This window comes from Homo sapiens, chromosome 13, assembly GCF_000001405.40.
Source record: "Homo sapiens chromosome 13, GRCh38.p14 Primary Assembly".
Taxonomy (NCBI): Eukaryota; Metazoa; Chordata; class Mammalia; order Primates; family Hominidae; genus Homo; species Homo sapiens.
In genome coordinates, this window is record NC_000013.11 from 29,847,747 (window position 1) to 29,859,522 (window position 11,776).

Sequence of the window (11,776 nt, forward strand, 5' to 3'; positions counted from 1 at the left end):
CTCGAGGCGATGAACCCACAGATCACTCATCAAACAAGGGAAATAGCATTTCCCAGCTCTGTCTAGAGACCGCTCCCGGCAACTTCAAGAGCAGTATGGAGGAAAGCTTGTCCAGCCGTACTTAACCAGGCAGGAGGCTATTTCATGTGTGCACACCAGAAGAGAAGCGAAAACTAAAAGGACAACGCACGAGTTTTAGGACTCAGGAAGGAGACTGTAAAGCTGTTATGTGGCCACCCCCAGAGACAGAACACTGTGTTTCCTTTGCATTCAATGGGAAATTAAACAAGAGCAAAATTCCTTTAAACCAAGGTCAAAATAAGCCATTTAGAATCATTTAATTTTTGTTATAAAATCTGTATATGAGGTTTGCTCCTCTAGAAACATCTGGCGTTTTAAAATTTAATCATCAGCAGGCTGGGCGCAGTGGCTCACGCCTGTAATCCCAGCACTTTGGGAGGCCAAGATGGGTGGATCATCTGAGGTCAGGAGTTTGAGACCAGCCTGGCCAACATGGTGAAACCCTGTCTCCACAAAAAAAAAAAAAAAAAAAAAAAAAAATTAGCCAGGTGTGGTGGTGGGCACCTGTAATCCCAGTTACTTGGGAGGCTGAGGCAGGAGAATCGCTTGAACCCAGGAGGCAGAGGTTGCAGTGAGCCGAGATCGCGCCATTGCACTCCAGCCTGGGCAACAAGAGCAAAACTCCGTCTCAAAAAATAAAAATTAAATTAAAATTAAATTAAAATTAAAAAATAAAATAAAATTTAATCATCAGCAAAGTTCAATTTGTTTCCACTGAATACACAAACACTCAAATGTTAACATATGTGAGCACAACTACGTTAACTTCAATTCTTTCATAAACAGGATTATTCCTCTTCCTGGTAATTAAATGCATTATGTTTGTCCTTAGGACTGCAAAATGTAACTTCACACTCACACAAGCCCAGCCCCAGCACTGTAAGGTTACACGGTTACTGTTAGTCAACCGACTCACAACCTTACCCTTTATAAACAAAACAAAGAAAGGCGTCAATAAACAACAGTACTTTTTGTTTCAAGTTCTCAACACTCAGTGATCGAGGCTCAATACTATGTTTCCTTAGCTTTATGTCTAATATGGAATCTACTATTAATAAATATCTGGCATTAAAAAGCCCTGGAATATTCATTGTAAGTACCAATACAGGGTCAGCCTACGTTTCTGAAAATCCCAAAATATCTTTATATTTCTGTTGCCATCCGTATTCAGACATTTCAAAAACCTCACAGCAAATTCTAACATACTTTTTCTTGAAGAGATGTGCATCCCTGTTCTTGAAAAATATCAAGTTCGTCCCTACTGCAATGACGATCTCGTCTGTGTCATAAAGCAAGATTCCCGTTTCCCTACCTATTCTCTCGTAGGGACACCCGTCCTCAGCTCTGCCCACTGTCCCTGACGTTTTCAGAAACGTTAAAATACTAGTGTTCGGAGGCTTCTAGCGAAGAGGGAGATGTTTTGTCCCCTCAAGCTACCATGATACATTTCCCTACTTCTCCACTATCTTCAATGCTTTAGAAAACACGACCAAATGAGAGAACCCATATTAAAAGCAGTACTTCCTAAAAGGGGGAAACCAGAAGCTCCAACTTCTCCAAATCGCTCAGCACAGTGGCTTTTCGACAGTCCCCAGCAAATCTTCGCCCCACGCCTGCCGTCTTTCCGATTAAATAAGATTGGAAACCACAATTAAATCAGTGTCATAACTTATCCGTCACTTACCATATCCGCCGGGACATTACTGGACATCTTGCCGTTTGATATACACCCAGATGTTTACGAAAAAAACAAACAAAGAAAAAAGAGCAGAAGTCTTCACGTTACAGAAATAAACCACGATTTTGACTGGTTCGTGATGTGCTTTCTCCCCCAAAAATAAAGTTATTTTGGAGCCAAAGTGCCGGTCAGGCCGAGGTTCTGGTTCGAAGAGGAACAATCCCCAGGAGCTGTGTGGCCGGAGCAGGAGGAAACTCCCGGGACAGCAGAGGCAGCCCCCGTCGTCGTCGTCGTCGTCAACAGCAGCAGCAGCCCCAGGACCGGCCGCGCCAGGTGGACCGAGCCGAGTGACACACGGACATGGAGAGGGGTGGGAGGGGGTTAAATGCGCCTTCCTCCTTTCCCAGCCCCGGCAATGATTCACACTTGCTCCCGAGTCAAGTCCTCATTAAGCAGGAGAAAAATGCCCCAGCGTGGATGTACACAGATAACTATGTAGCTACACATCGACGCGTGAGCCTTGAGTGGCGGCCGAGCGGTGGCCGGACGCTGGCCGCGGACCCTGCAGAGCCGCTGTCGGAGCGCCCGCGCGGACAGCGCGGGGAAACGGCTCAACTCGCGCCGCGGGGGCGAAGAGCCGGGCCGCGGAAACCCGCGCTCAAGGGCATTTAACTAGTTGGAAGCCAAAGCGAAAGACCGGAGCGGGGGACCGACAGCGCGGGGGTGCTCGGGGCCGGCCGGGACACTCCACAGCCCCTCTGGGCTCAGGCCGCGGGCGCCTCCGGACAGCAGCTGGGGTCGGGGCGCATCGTCTCCGGCTCCTCGCCACTCCTCTTCTGCCTCCGCCTTCCCCGCCGCCGCCTCCCCGGTCTCCGCCTTCCCTTCCCCTCCCCTCCCCGGCCTCGCGAGCTCCGGGCGACGCCGACTTCGGCTGGTCCCCGGAAGAGGCCGGGTCCTCCTTCTCCTCAGCCCGGGAATGGTTTCCTCTCAGAGCTTTGTTTCTCCTCCTCCTCCTTCACTTTTCAGTCCCACACGCCGCGGCCGCCTCCTGTCATCGCCTCTCAAACCAACATGGCGGCAGCGGCGGCGGCGGCGGCTGCCTGAGTGCGACTAAGGGAAACGGGGAGAGCACGGGCCCCCCCTCGCAGCAGCCGCCGCCCCCGTCCTCGTCCTCCCTCCGCGGACACCAAGTGCGTCACCACGGAGACCATTCCCTCGAGCATCACGGGAAGTGTAGTCTACGAGGGTGGGGGGGGGAGGGAGCCGCCGAACGCCTCCTCACCCAGCTCCGAAGCCACGCCCCCCATAGCAACAGTTGCGAGGAAAGGAAAGCTCCCTTTCCCTTGCTTTGGACAAGCTGCTGCCCAGGAGTTAAGTGATACCTGCTACCAGGAGTGCTGTGATCATGAGAATTGTTGGGAGAAAATAATTCTGCATAGAGAAATTCCCTTATGCACGATATGCACACAGAGCTAAAATATGCTGTACCTCCAAGCAGAATCATTCATTTTAATTACAGCACATTCTCCACATCCTGCAATCTCAATGCATTTTGTAGAGTGATTTCATCTAGGTCTCCTCAACATTACATTTTGAAGAACAAAAGCAATCATTGATTTCCAATAAGGTCACATAAGTTCAACAGGAACAAGGATCTCATTAAGCAGTGAGAATATTTGAACATGTGTTTCCTTGAAGACCCAGGGCAATAAAGCTACAATCTACTTAACTGAAATTACCAAAACTGTATTACATACAACAGTGTTATTATATCAAATCTGTATCAGGAAATAGCTACTACAAACTTCATGGGGATTCACCAGTTTACCCATCTGGACCCTAAATTCTATTCTATGTAACTCATAATGTAATTGAAAACCTATATGCCTTGCAGTGATTAGCAAATAGGAGAAAATAATGCCATTGTTGAGACACCATTCAGATGGACATTTGTGATTTCTGCATTTTGTTCCTAAATCTGAGGTCAACATCTGAATCCCTATTCATATCTCTTAGTCCTTTGACAGAGTACTTTAGAAAGGGCAGTCTCAATATGATGCCTATATATAAATGCCAATGAATTTAGAGTCTGAAAGCCACCTCTCCAACCTACAGCTGTGTGACCTCATCTGTAAAATGGTCTTGCCTACCTTCCGGGGTAAAGTAGGGGTAGTTATGAGGATGAGTTCATGCATGGGAAATAAATCACTTTGTAAATAATAATGCATCATTTGATATGAAATGTCACTACTCATTCTCTCATTCAGCAAACAAATGTGCCAGGCACTCTGCTAGGCACTAGGAGTTTAAAAATGAGTCACTGTAGCGAACAGCAGCATCATGTGGCAGAAATGCCAAGGTCTTGGGTTGGCAATGGGGGTTATTACATCCTTGTCTATAGGGCTGTTGAAAAGAGGCAGAATCCAGTCACTGTCCTCAGGGAGCTCATTGTCTAGAAGCCTACGTGATTCCCCACAGCAATCTCTCCAGTTGGGTTTCTCATCAGTTGGAAACCCACAGGACATTTAGAGTACCTGCCTCTTGAGTAGCCTGGGTGGAGAAATTCCAAACACTCCTAAGGGCCTATATCACCCTGAGGAAGATAGATCAAATTCTCCGAAAAACCAAAGGCCAGAAGAGAAGAGAGGCCCAAATCTCACTGTGATTAGGCTTCAGGACTTTGTCTAGATATTTCCAAGTCCATAGTTACGTGATTTTCCATGGCCTTTGTTACTTGGTTGCTCATTTGCAATGTTTAGCAACCACAGAGTCCCCCTACCCCTACACCAGCCCCCCAGGAAATAAGGGCAGGTGAAAATACTTCAATTGACCAATGAGCTCAGAAGGAATATTGGAGCACATTTTGAAAGCTCTAACTCACAGAGTTAGTCCCTCCACCATACCCTTGACTCCAACTTTTATCCAATGACCTCCCTGGCCATGGCACTGCCTGGCCATGGCACTGCCGGGCCTAAGTGCCACTGTAAGTAGAAAGGCAAGAGTTGCTGTTTGCTGCAGGTTACCACTGCCACCTTTACAAAAGGCAATGTCTTTCAAAAGTCGCTGTGTTTCCAATTACTCTTCTAAGAGGGGCTGAGACATTATTCTCAATAAAACTCATTATAACTCATCCCTAACATTGTTAAGGCATGAGGTAACATTATTGGACACAGTTGCAGATTTTTCCACTCTTTCTTTTCTCTTTGCTTCCCAGCTCAGGCGGGTGAGGTGGGAGGCTGTAGAAAGGAGTTCAGCTGTCCCAAGCAGGAAAAGGTAGCATCTTCTTGACACCAGGAATCTATTGTCAGCATCAGTTGGAAGAAAGTGAATGACACAGCATTTTTGTAATGGGAAAAATAACTTCATAGGAAGTCAAAAGACCTGGCTCTGCCACGAATTAGTTATGTGACCTTTTGCCTCTCTGAGTTTCAATTTCTTCATCTGAGAAGCTTGAACTAAATCTCTAAGGTCCCTTCTAAGAGTCTATGAGTGTCAAGTCCTGGAAAAATAGGGCATGACACCGATGGCCTGTTAAAAATATCTTCCCTAAGTGACTACTTATGGGTAGGAGGGATTTTGGGGGAACAGGGAAGGTGGAATGATGACAACCTAAAATTAGATTTTGGCGATGGTTGTAGAACTCTGTAAATACACAGGAAACCACTGGATTGTACACTTTAAATGAGTAATTTTTTATTTGTTAAAATGTAGCAAAATACACATAACATAAAATTTAACATCTTAGTCTTTTTTACATTTTCAGTTCAGTGGCATTAAGTACGTTCACACTGTGCAACCACCACCACCATCCATTCACAGAACTCTTTTCATCTTGCTCCCTGAACTCATTAAGCACCAACTCCCCTTTCTGTCTCTCCCAAACACCATTCTACTTTCTGTTTCTATGTTTTTTTACTACTCTGAGTACTTCATATGAATAGAATCATATGGTATTTGTCTTTTTGTGGCTAGCTTATTTCACTTAGAAAAATGTCTTCAAGATTTATCCATATTATAACATGTCAGGATTTCCTTCCCTTGTATGGCTGATTAATTTTCCATTGTATGTATATACCACATTTTATGTATTCATTTATCCATGGATAGACACGTCAATTGTTTCTACCATAGAGCTATTGAGAAATGAGTGGATTTTATAATATGTAAACTATATCTCATACATTTGTTAACAAATATATCTCCCCCATCTACCATGTAAGTGTCTAAAATGGCTCCCATCTTAAGATCATTCCTGAAGGATCTTCTCAAGGAACCTCATGAAGTTAAAATAACTAAATGGAAGAATTACTTTCTGTGAAACCAGTAAACTTTTATCATGTGGTTCTTTAGTTGATTATCTCATGATGCCATGCTCTGTCATTTACAAAGGATCAGAGAGTAGGAAAATGCCATAAGAAGCAGAGACAGCCTTTGCCATCTCCATTCAGTTTTGCTCAAGGCTGGCCTGATCTGCAGGTACCCAGACCCCCAGACACAGTGTGGAGTTTCCTATCAAAGGGCAGCTGGAACCCTATGTGTTCTGGTCATGGCCCAGGGGCAGGGGCCCAGTGTGAGGGCAATCACAACTCTACCCATGCCTAAGGTTCTGCTTTAAGTCTTTTATTTGATTCTAGCCAATGTAAGAGTCACTTCAAAGACTTAGTAAAATTATTCTGTACTTCCCATGAGAAAACTATGTGAAAACCTCTAACATAGAAGGGGTCTCAAGAAATGTTGATTCTGCCACGTGCAGCGGCTCATGCCTGTAATCCCAGCCCTTTGGGAGGCCAAGGCGGGTAGATCACCTGAGATCAGGAGTTTGAGACCAGCCTGGCCAACACAGCGAAACCCTGTCTCTACTAAAAATACAAAAAAAATTAGCTGGGAGTGGTGGCAGACGCCTGTAATCCCAGCTACTCAGGAGGCTGAGGCGGGAGAATCACTTGAACCTGGGAGGCAGAGGTTGCAGTGAGCCGAGATCACGCCACTGGACTCCAGCCCGGGCAACAAGAGCAAAACTCCGTCTCCAGAAAAAAAGAAAAAAAGAAATGTTGATTCCCTACCACAAGTGGCCAAGGGCTTTCCTCTGAAACTAGAGATAATTTACTGAATGGTTTTGTAATAGATTTTCCTCCCTTAGTCTTTACTCTTGCTGGAGCAGAATGAATGTGTGTTTAGATTTGAGAATTGTCCTCTGAAGCAGTTTGCAATATAAAGAATAAAATTCAATCGTGTAAAGCAAAGGAATAGATAGGACAGGCTGGGTGACCTCTTTTTACTCCCATACACATATGGCAGATACCTCCAGCTCTTTAACCCCACACTTTCCTAAACAGAGATTCTCAACTTGCTTCCTATAAGAATCACTGGAATTCCACATATAAGTGAAATCATGCGGTATTTATCTTTCTGTGCCTGGCTTATTTCACTTAACATAATGGCCTCCAGTTTCATCCATACTATTGCAAATGACAGGATTTCTTCCTTTTTATGGTTGAATAGTATTCCATTGTGTTTATATACCACATTTTCTTTATCCATTCATCTGTTCATAGACACTTAGGCTGATTCCATATCTTAAGCATGATGGTTACCAGAAGTTGAGGGAGTGGGAGTGGGGAGGAATGGCGAGTTGTCAATCAAAGGGTACAAAATTCCAGTTAGACAGGAGGAGTAAGTTTTGAGAACTGTTGCATAGCAGAAGGACTATAGTCAACAATAATGTAGGTGTATGTCTCAAAATCATTGAGTAAGTTTCAGATGTCTCACCACAAAAAATGATGAGGAAGGTTATGTAAAGGAAGTGATAGTTAACGCTCATCAGCTTGATGTAATCATTCCGGGTTGCATAGACATATCAAAGCATCACAGCGTACCCCATGAATGTATACATCATGATTTGTCAAATTAAAATATTAAAGAAAAAAAGAATCGCTGGGAGTCATTTAAAAAGGCAAATACCTGAGCCCTCCTCCAGACCAACCAAATCAGACTGTTCAGGGTGGGGCCTGACACTGGTATGTTCCAAATCTCTAAAGCAATTCTAATGTGCAGTGGAGAAACACTGCATATGCCAGATTCCTTCTGCCCAGCTCCCCACCTTTTCCCAGTTAGTTTCTCTTATGAGAGTGCTCACCTGAAGGTAATGTGATTTATAAAGGTGACCCATGGCCACAGTCGTGAGTGGTCTGAGGAACAATCATAGCACACTGCTCTCTCCTCCCACTCCCTATGCCATTGTATTCATGCACCAACCTAATAACTAAGAGATTGACCTTTCCCTGATGCAGCCCTAGTTTCCGTCTCAAGACGCTTCCCACTTTGCTCAGAGTCCAGTAAGAAACACAGACAAGTAAGGTGAAAATTAAAATGCCATATGGTGAGTTGCTAAATGCTACCACAGGAATATGCACTAGGCACTTTGAAAGCACAGAGGAAATAAAGCAAACTCAGCCTTGAGGCGTGTGGAGTTTAACCAGGTGAAAGCCAAGTGAACAGGCAGGGTAATCAGGAAGAAAACACATGGACCTAGACTCAGGGCAGAGTGAGGCAGAGAAGGGAAGTGGCTAAAGCTCAGATGGCTACTTCTGGGAATCGAGGCAGGACTGGGGTCAGAGAAGGTTAGGAGAGAGAAACTAGAGGTAAATCACCAAAGGCTTTGTAACTTAGGCTGAGCAGTTTGGATTTACTCTCATAGCAAAAGGAAGCCATTAAAAGGTTTTAAGCTGGAGAGTGTCGTGATAAGATCTGTTTATATAATAGGATAAAAAGAAAAGGTCTGTGAACTCCAACAATACTTTTTGTCTGTATGTTTTGGCTCAGTTGTCATGTTGTATGACCTCTTGGACTCACATAATTTTAAAACTCTTAAGGGGTCTCAGAGATCATCAAATGCCATCTCCTTGTTTTGCAGATCAGGAAACCTACCAGTGTCATGGGCTACCAGGTTGACTCCCAGTGCAAAGCTTTTTTCACTACCCACCTCCTGCCAACAAAATTCTATAAAAACAAGGAGGACTTTTCATCATTCTACTACACAATATATATTTAACCCAGTAAAAATGTATTTCCCTTTCTGTTTTTAAAATAAAGAGTAACATCGGTATTATAGCAATTCTGGAAATTACAGGATCTATTTTTGGGTTTTGGTATATTTCCTTCCAGGATTGTGTGTGTGTGTGTGTGTGTACATGATATCACACATTTATGATATACGTAAGTTTTTCTTTTAAATATTAAAAGCAAAGGTTTTTTCTTTTAAATATTAAAAGCAAAGGTTTTTTCTTTTAAATAAAAATGTGTATTTTTACAAATGACTATGTCATCTTTCAATTGCTCTTTTTCATTTTTAAGAGCTACACACTCTTACATTGCATATTGATTGGTACATATGTAATCATTTTCTATTTGGCAGGCATAAGATTGCTTGCAGTTGTTCACTATTTGTGCTTATAAATCTGCATTTTGAATTACTTGTTTAGGTGAGAGTTCAGAAACTGCTATTACTGGCCACAAAGTCTCTGAGCATTCCCTTAGTGCTTGAATTGCATAGTGAAATTACTTTCCAAAAGGGTTTTACCTGCTTAGAATGCTACCTGTACTTGAGAATCCAGCTTTCCCACTACCACCTCCAGCCCTTATGTGTCTCTACAGCTGTATCAGCTTGTATGTAATATACATGCATAACCTTGACGCAGTGGCAGTGCACAGTGGCGACTGCAGGGAGGTCTTAGCCTCTCAATATCATTGACTCTCCAGGGCTGGGCCTGACATTGGTATTTTCCAAAGTCAACTAACTCTGCTATACTCTAAGTAAAGATACAATCCAAGTAAAAATGAGTGTTTGCTATACAAACACAGCCTCAGCAACACCCTCACAGCCCCCCCTTCACACCCTCCCACACCCACACACAAACTCACATTCCAATCAGATAGGAAACCCCTCATATTTATAAAATTTGGAAACATTTCTGCCTATGCATGCTGATTTTTTAGGTTAAAAAATGTACTTTGTGGTTGTTCGTTTTATATTTTGATGATTTTTATCAGATTCAGATTTTTTTTTTTTTTTTTTGAGACAGAGTTTCACTCTTGTTGCCCAGGCTGGAGTGCAATGGTGTGTTCTCGACTCACTGCAACCTCCCCCTCCCAGGTTCAAGCGATTCTCCTGCCTCACCCTCCCGAGTAGCTGGGATTACAGGTAAGCGCCACCACGCCCAGCTAATTTTGTATTTTTAGTAGAGACGGGGTTTCTCCACGTTGGTCAGGCTGGTCTTGAACTCCCGACCTCCAGTGATCCGCCCACCTCAGCCTCCCAAAGTGCTAGGATTACAGGCCTTTTTGTATGCATAGGAAACAAACATTTTTGAAGGGTGGATGCTGAGCAAGCAGAAACAGGGCAGCAGGCACAGTTAGTTAGGTTTGGGACTTGTGTGCAACTCGGCCCAGGAAGCCCTCATTGCAGCCCAGGTGTTTCTCCCCTCTGGGGTGGGGACCAACACCGGCAGCCCTTACTCATTCTCCAACTGTTCCCCCTAAAAAAGCACTCATTTGAGAGGTTGCTGGAGGACACTAGACTCATTGTCTTGGCCCTGGAGTAAAACCTTGGTTTTAGAATCACTTGAGTGCAAATACCAATCTGTTAAACTTTAGAAATCGTATTCTTATTCACAGACAATTTACTGCCATAATACCACTCCTGGGCTGTCCATCATGAATGTAGAAAGAGGCAACACCCAGTTTTGCTACCGTTTGGCAGCTTTGACTTTGTCTCTCTCTCTCTCTTTTTAAATTGCTAGTTATACCAGCAATAGAATGATATTTGTCTCTTTCACTATCATTCATCTTTCCATCAGTTTATGCCTGGTGTCTCCAACTATGTGTACACTCCTTAAGGGCTGGAGCTGGGTTTTAGTCATCTTTGTATCCCCAGGGCTTAACCTAGTGAATAGCACTCAAAAAAAATCTTCTAAGTGCATTACAGAGATGAACATGTGATGTCTTAAAATCCCTTCCCAGGTCTGTGATTCTGTAAAGTCAAGGATTACCTTCTTCATGTTATCTTCAGACCTAGAGCTGTGTCTGGTTTCCACAGAAATGATATCCAAGGCTTAACTCAATGGCTCTCCCATGACTAAAAGAATATGCCAATGGCAAGAGGAATGATTTTCATGTTAAGGTTGGAGAAGTTCCCCTTTGGAAAAAACGAGTTACATTTTTTAATGGTAACGTGTTTTTTACTATTTTGCCAACAACAATGTGAGTGGGGTAGTCTAAGAATGCACAGGCTACTAGAAAAAGAATCCTCGAATTTTGTATCTTGCTGATGCCCCTTAATGCCTTTCTTCCTGACCTGACCTCACTTTACCAACGCTATGAGGTCATTGAATCATCCAGTGCTGGAGCTGGAAGGATGCTTCATGATGATATCATCTCCACCCTTTTTTGTCTTCTCACAAATGAGGAAACAGAAACTTCTTGAGAAGCAGCCACAATTTCTTTGTAATTTTCAAGTGTACATGAGAATGAGTTTCCTCTAAGTTGTTCCAAGAAATAGAAAGACAAAACAAATTCTAGCAACATTATGTAATGTTGAATTATTATATAATTTTATGTTAAATCATGTCAAATAAATGTAGAATTTATCATCAAATTGATATCATAAGACATAATCATTATTACTGGTTTTCATTGCCATAGAGATCAACCCATTATCATAGGGCTATTCAATAACGACATTTTTTTTTTTTTTTGAGACAGAGTCTTGCTCTGTCACCAAGGCTGGAGTGCAGTGGTGCGATCTCAGCTCACCACAACCTCCACCTCCCAGGTTCAAGCGATTCTCCTGATTCAGCCTCCCGAGTAGCTGGGATTACAGGCACGCACCACCACGCTTGGCTAATTTTTGTATTCTTAGTAGAGATGGGGGTCTTGCCATGTTGACCAGGCTGGTCTCGAACTCCTGACCTCAAGTGATCCACCTGCCTCGGCCTCCCAAAGTGTTGGAATTACAGGGGT

At 43.6% G+C, this 11,776-nt stretch overlaps 1 protein-coding gene across 2 annotated transcripts in view, besides 5 other annotated features; it reads right to left on the reverse strand.

The window, feature by feature from the left end:
- The window catches only part of UBL3 (ubiquitin like 3), an 86,247-nt gene extending 83,376 nt beyond the window's left edge, over positions 1-2,871 (reverse strand). Inside the window, exon 1 of one of the 2 annotated variants that reach the window (NM_007106.4) lies at positions 1,766-2,871. In NM_007106.4, the coding sequence (NP_009037.1) occupies positions 1,766-1,792 (27 nt within the window). In that variant the 5' untranslated portion in view covers positions 1,793-2,871. Of the gene's footprint in view, positions 1-1,287; positions 1,687-1,765 lie in introns of those variants that run through there. The other variant, XM_047430394.1, reaches the window with a different exon arrangement.
- Positions 1,437-1,506: an enhancer, noted in NCBI's record as "active region_7524". NCBI's record gives its function as "activates an Ori minimal core promoter by ATAC-STARR-seq in GM12878 lymphoblastoid cells {active_cell/tissue: GM12878}" and the evidence as "EXISTENCE:reporter gene assay evidence [ECO:0000049][PMID:35858748]".
- Positions 1,977-2,046: an enhancer, noted in NCBI's record as "active region_7525". NCBI's record gives its function as "activates an Ori minimal core promoter by ATAC-STARR-seq in GM12878 lymphoblastoid cells {active_cell/tissue: GM12878}" and the evidence as "EXISTENCE:reporter gene assay evidence [ECO:0000049][PMID:35858748]".
- Positions 2,347-2,646: a silencer, noted in NCBI's record as "silent region_5224". NCBI's record gives its function as "represses an Ori minimal core promoter by ATAC-STARR-seq in GM12878 lymphoblastoid cells {active_cell/tissue: GM12878}" and the evidence as "EXISTENCE:reporter gene assay evidence [ECO:0000049][PMID:35858748]".
- Positions 2,717-2,786: an enhancer, noted in NCBI's record as "active region_7526". NCBI's record gives its function as "activates an Ori minimal core promoter by ATAC-STARR-seq in GM12878 lymphoblastoid cells {active_cell/tissue: GM12878}" and the evidence as "EXISTENCE:reporter gene assay evidence [ECO:0000049][PMID:35858748]".
- Positions 2,917-3,026: a silencer, noted in NCBI's record as "silent region_5225". NCBI's record gives its function as "represses an Ori minimal core promoter by ATAC-STARR-seq in GM12878 lymphoblastoid cells {active_cell/tissue: GM12878}" and the evidence as "EXISTENCE:reporter gene assay evidence [ECO:0000049][PMID:35858748]".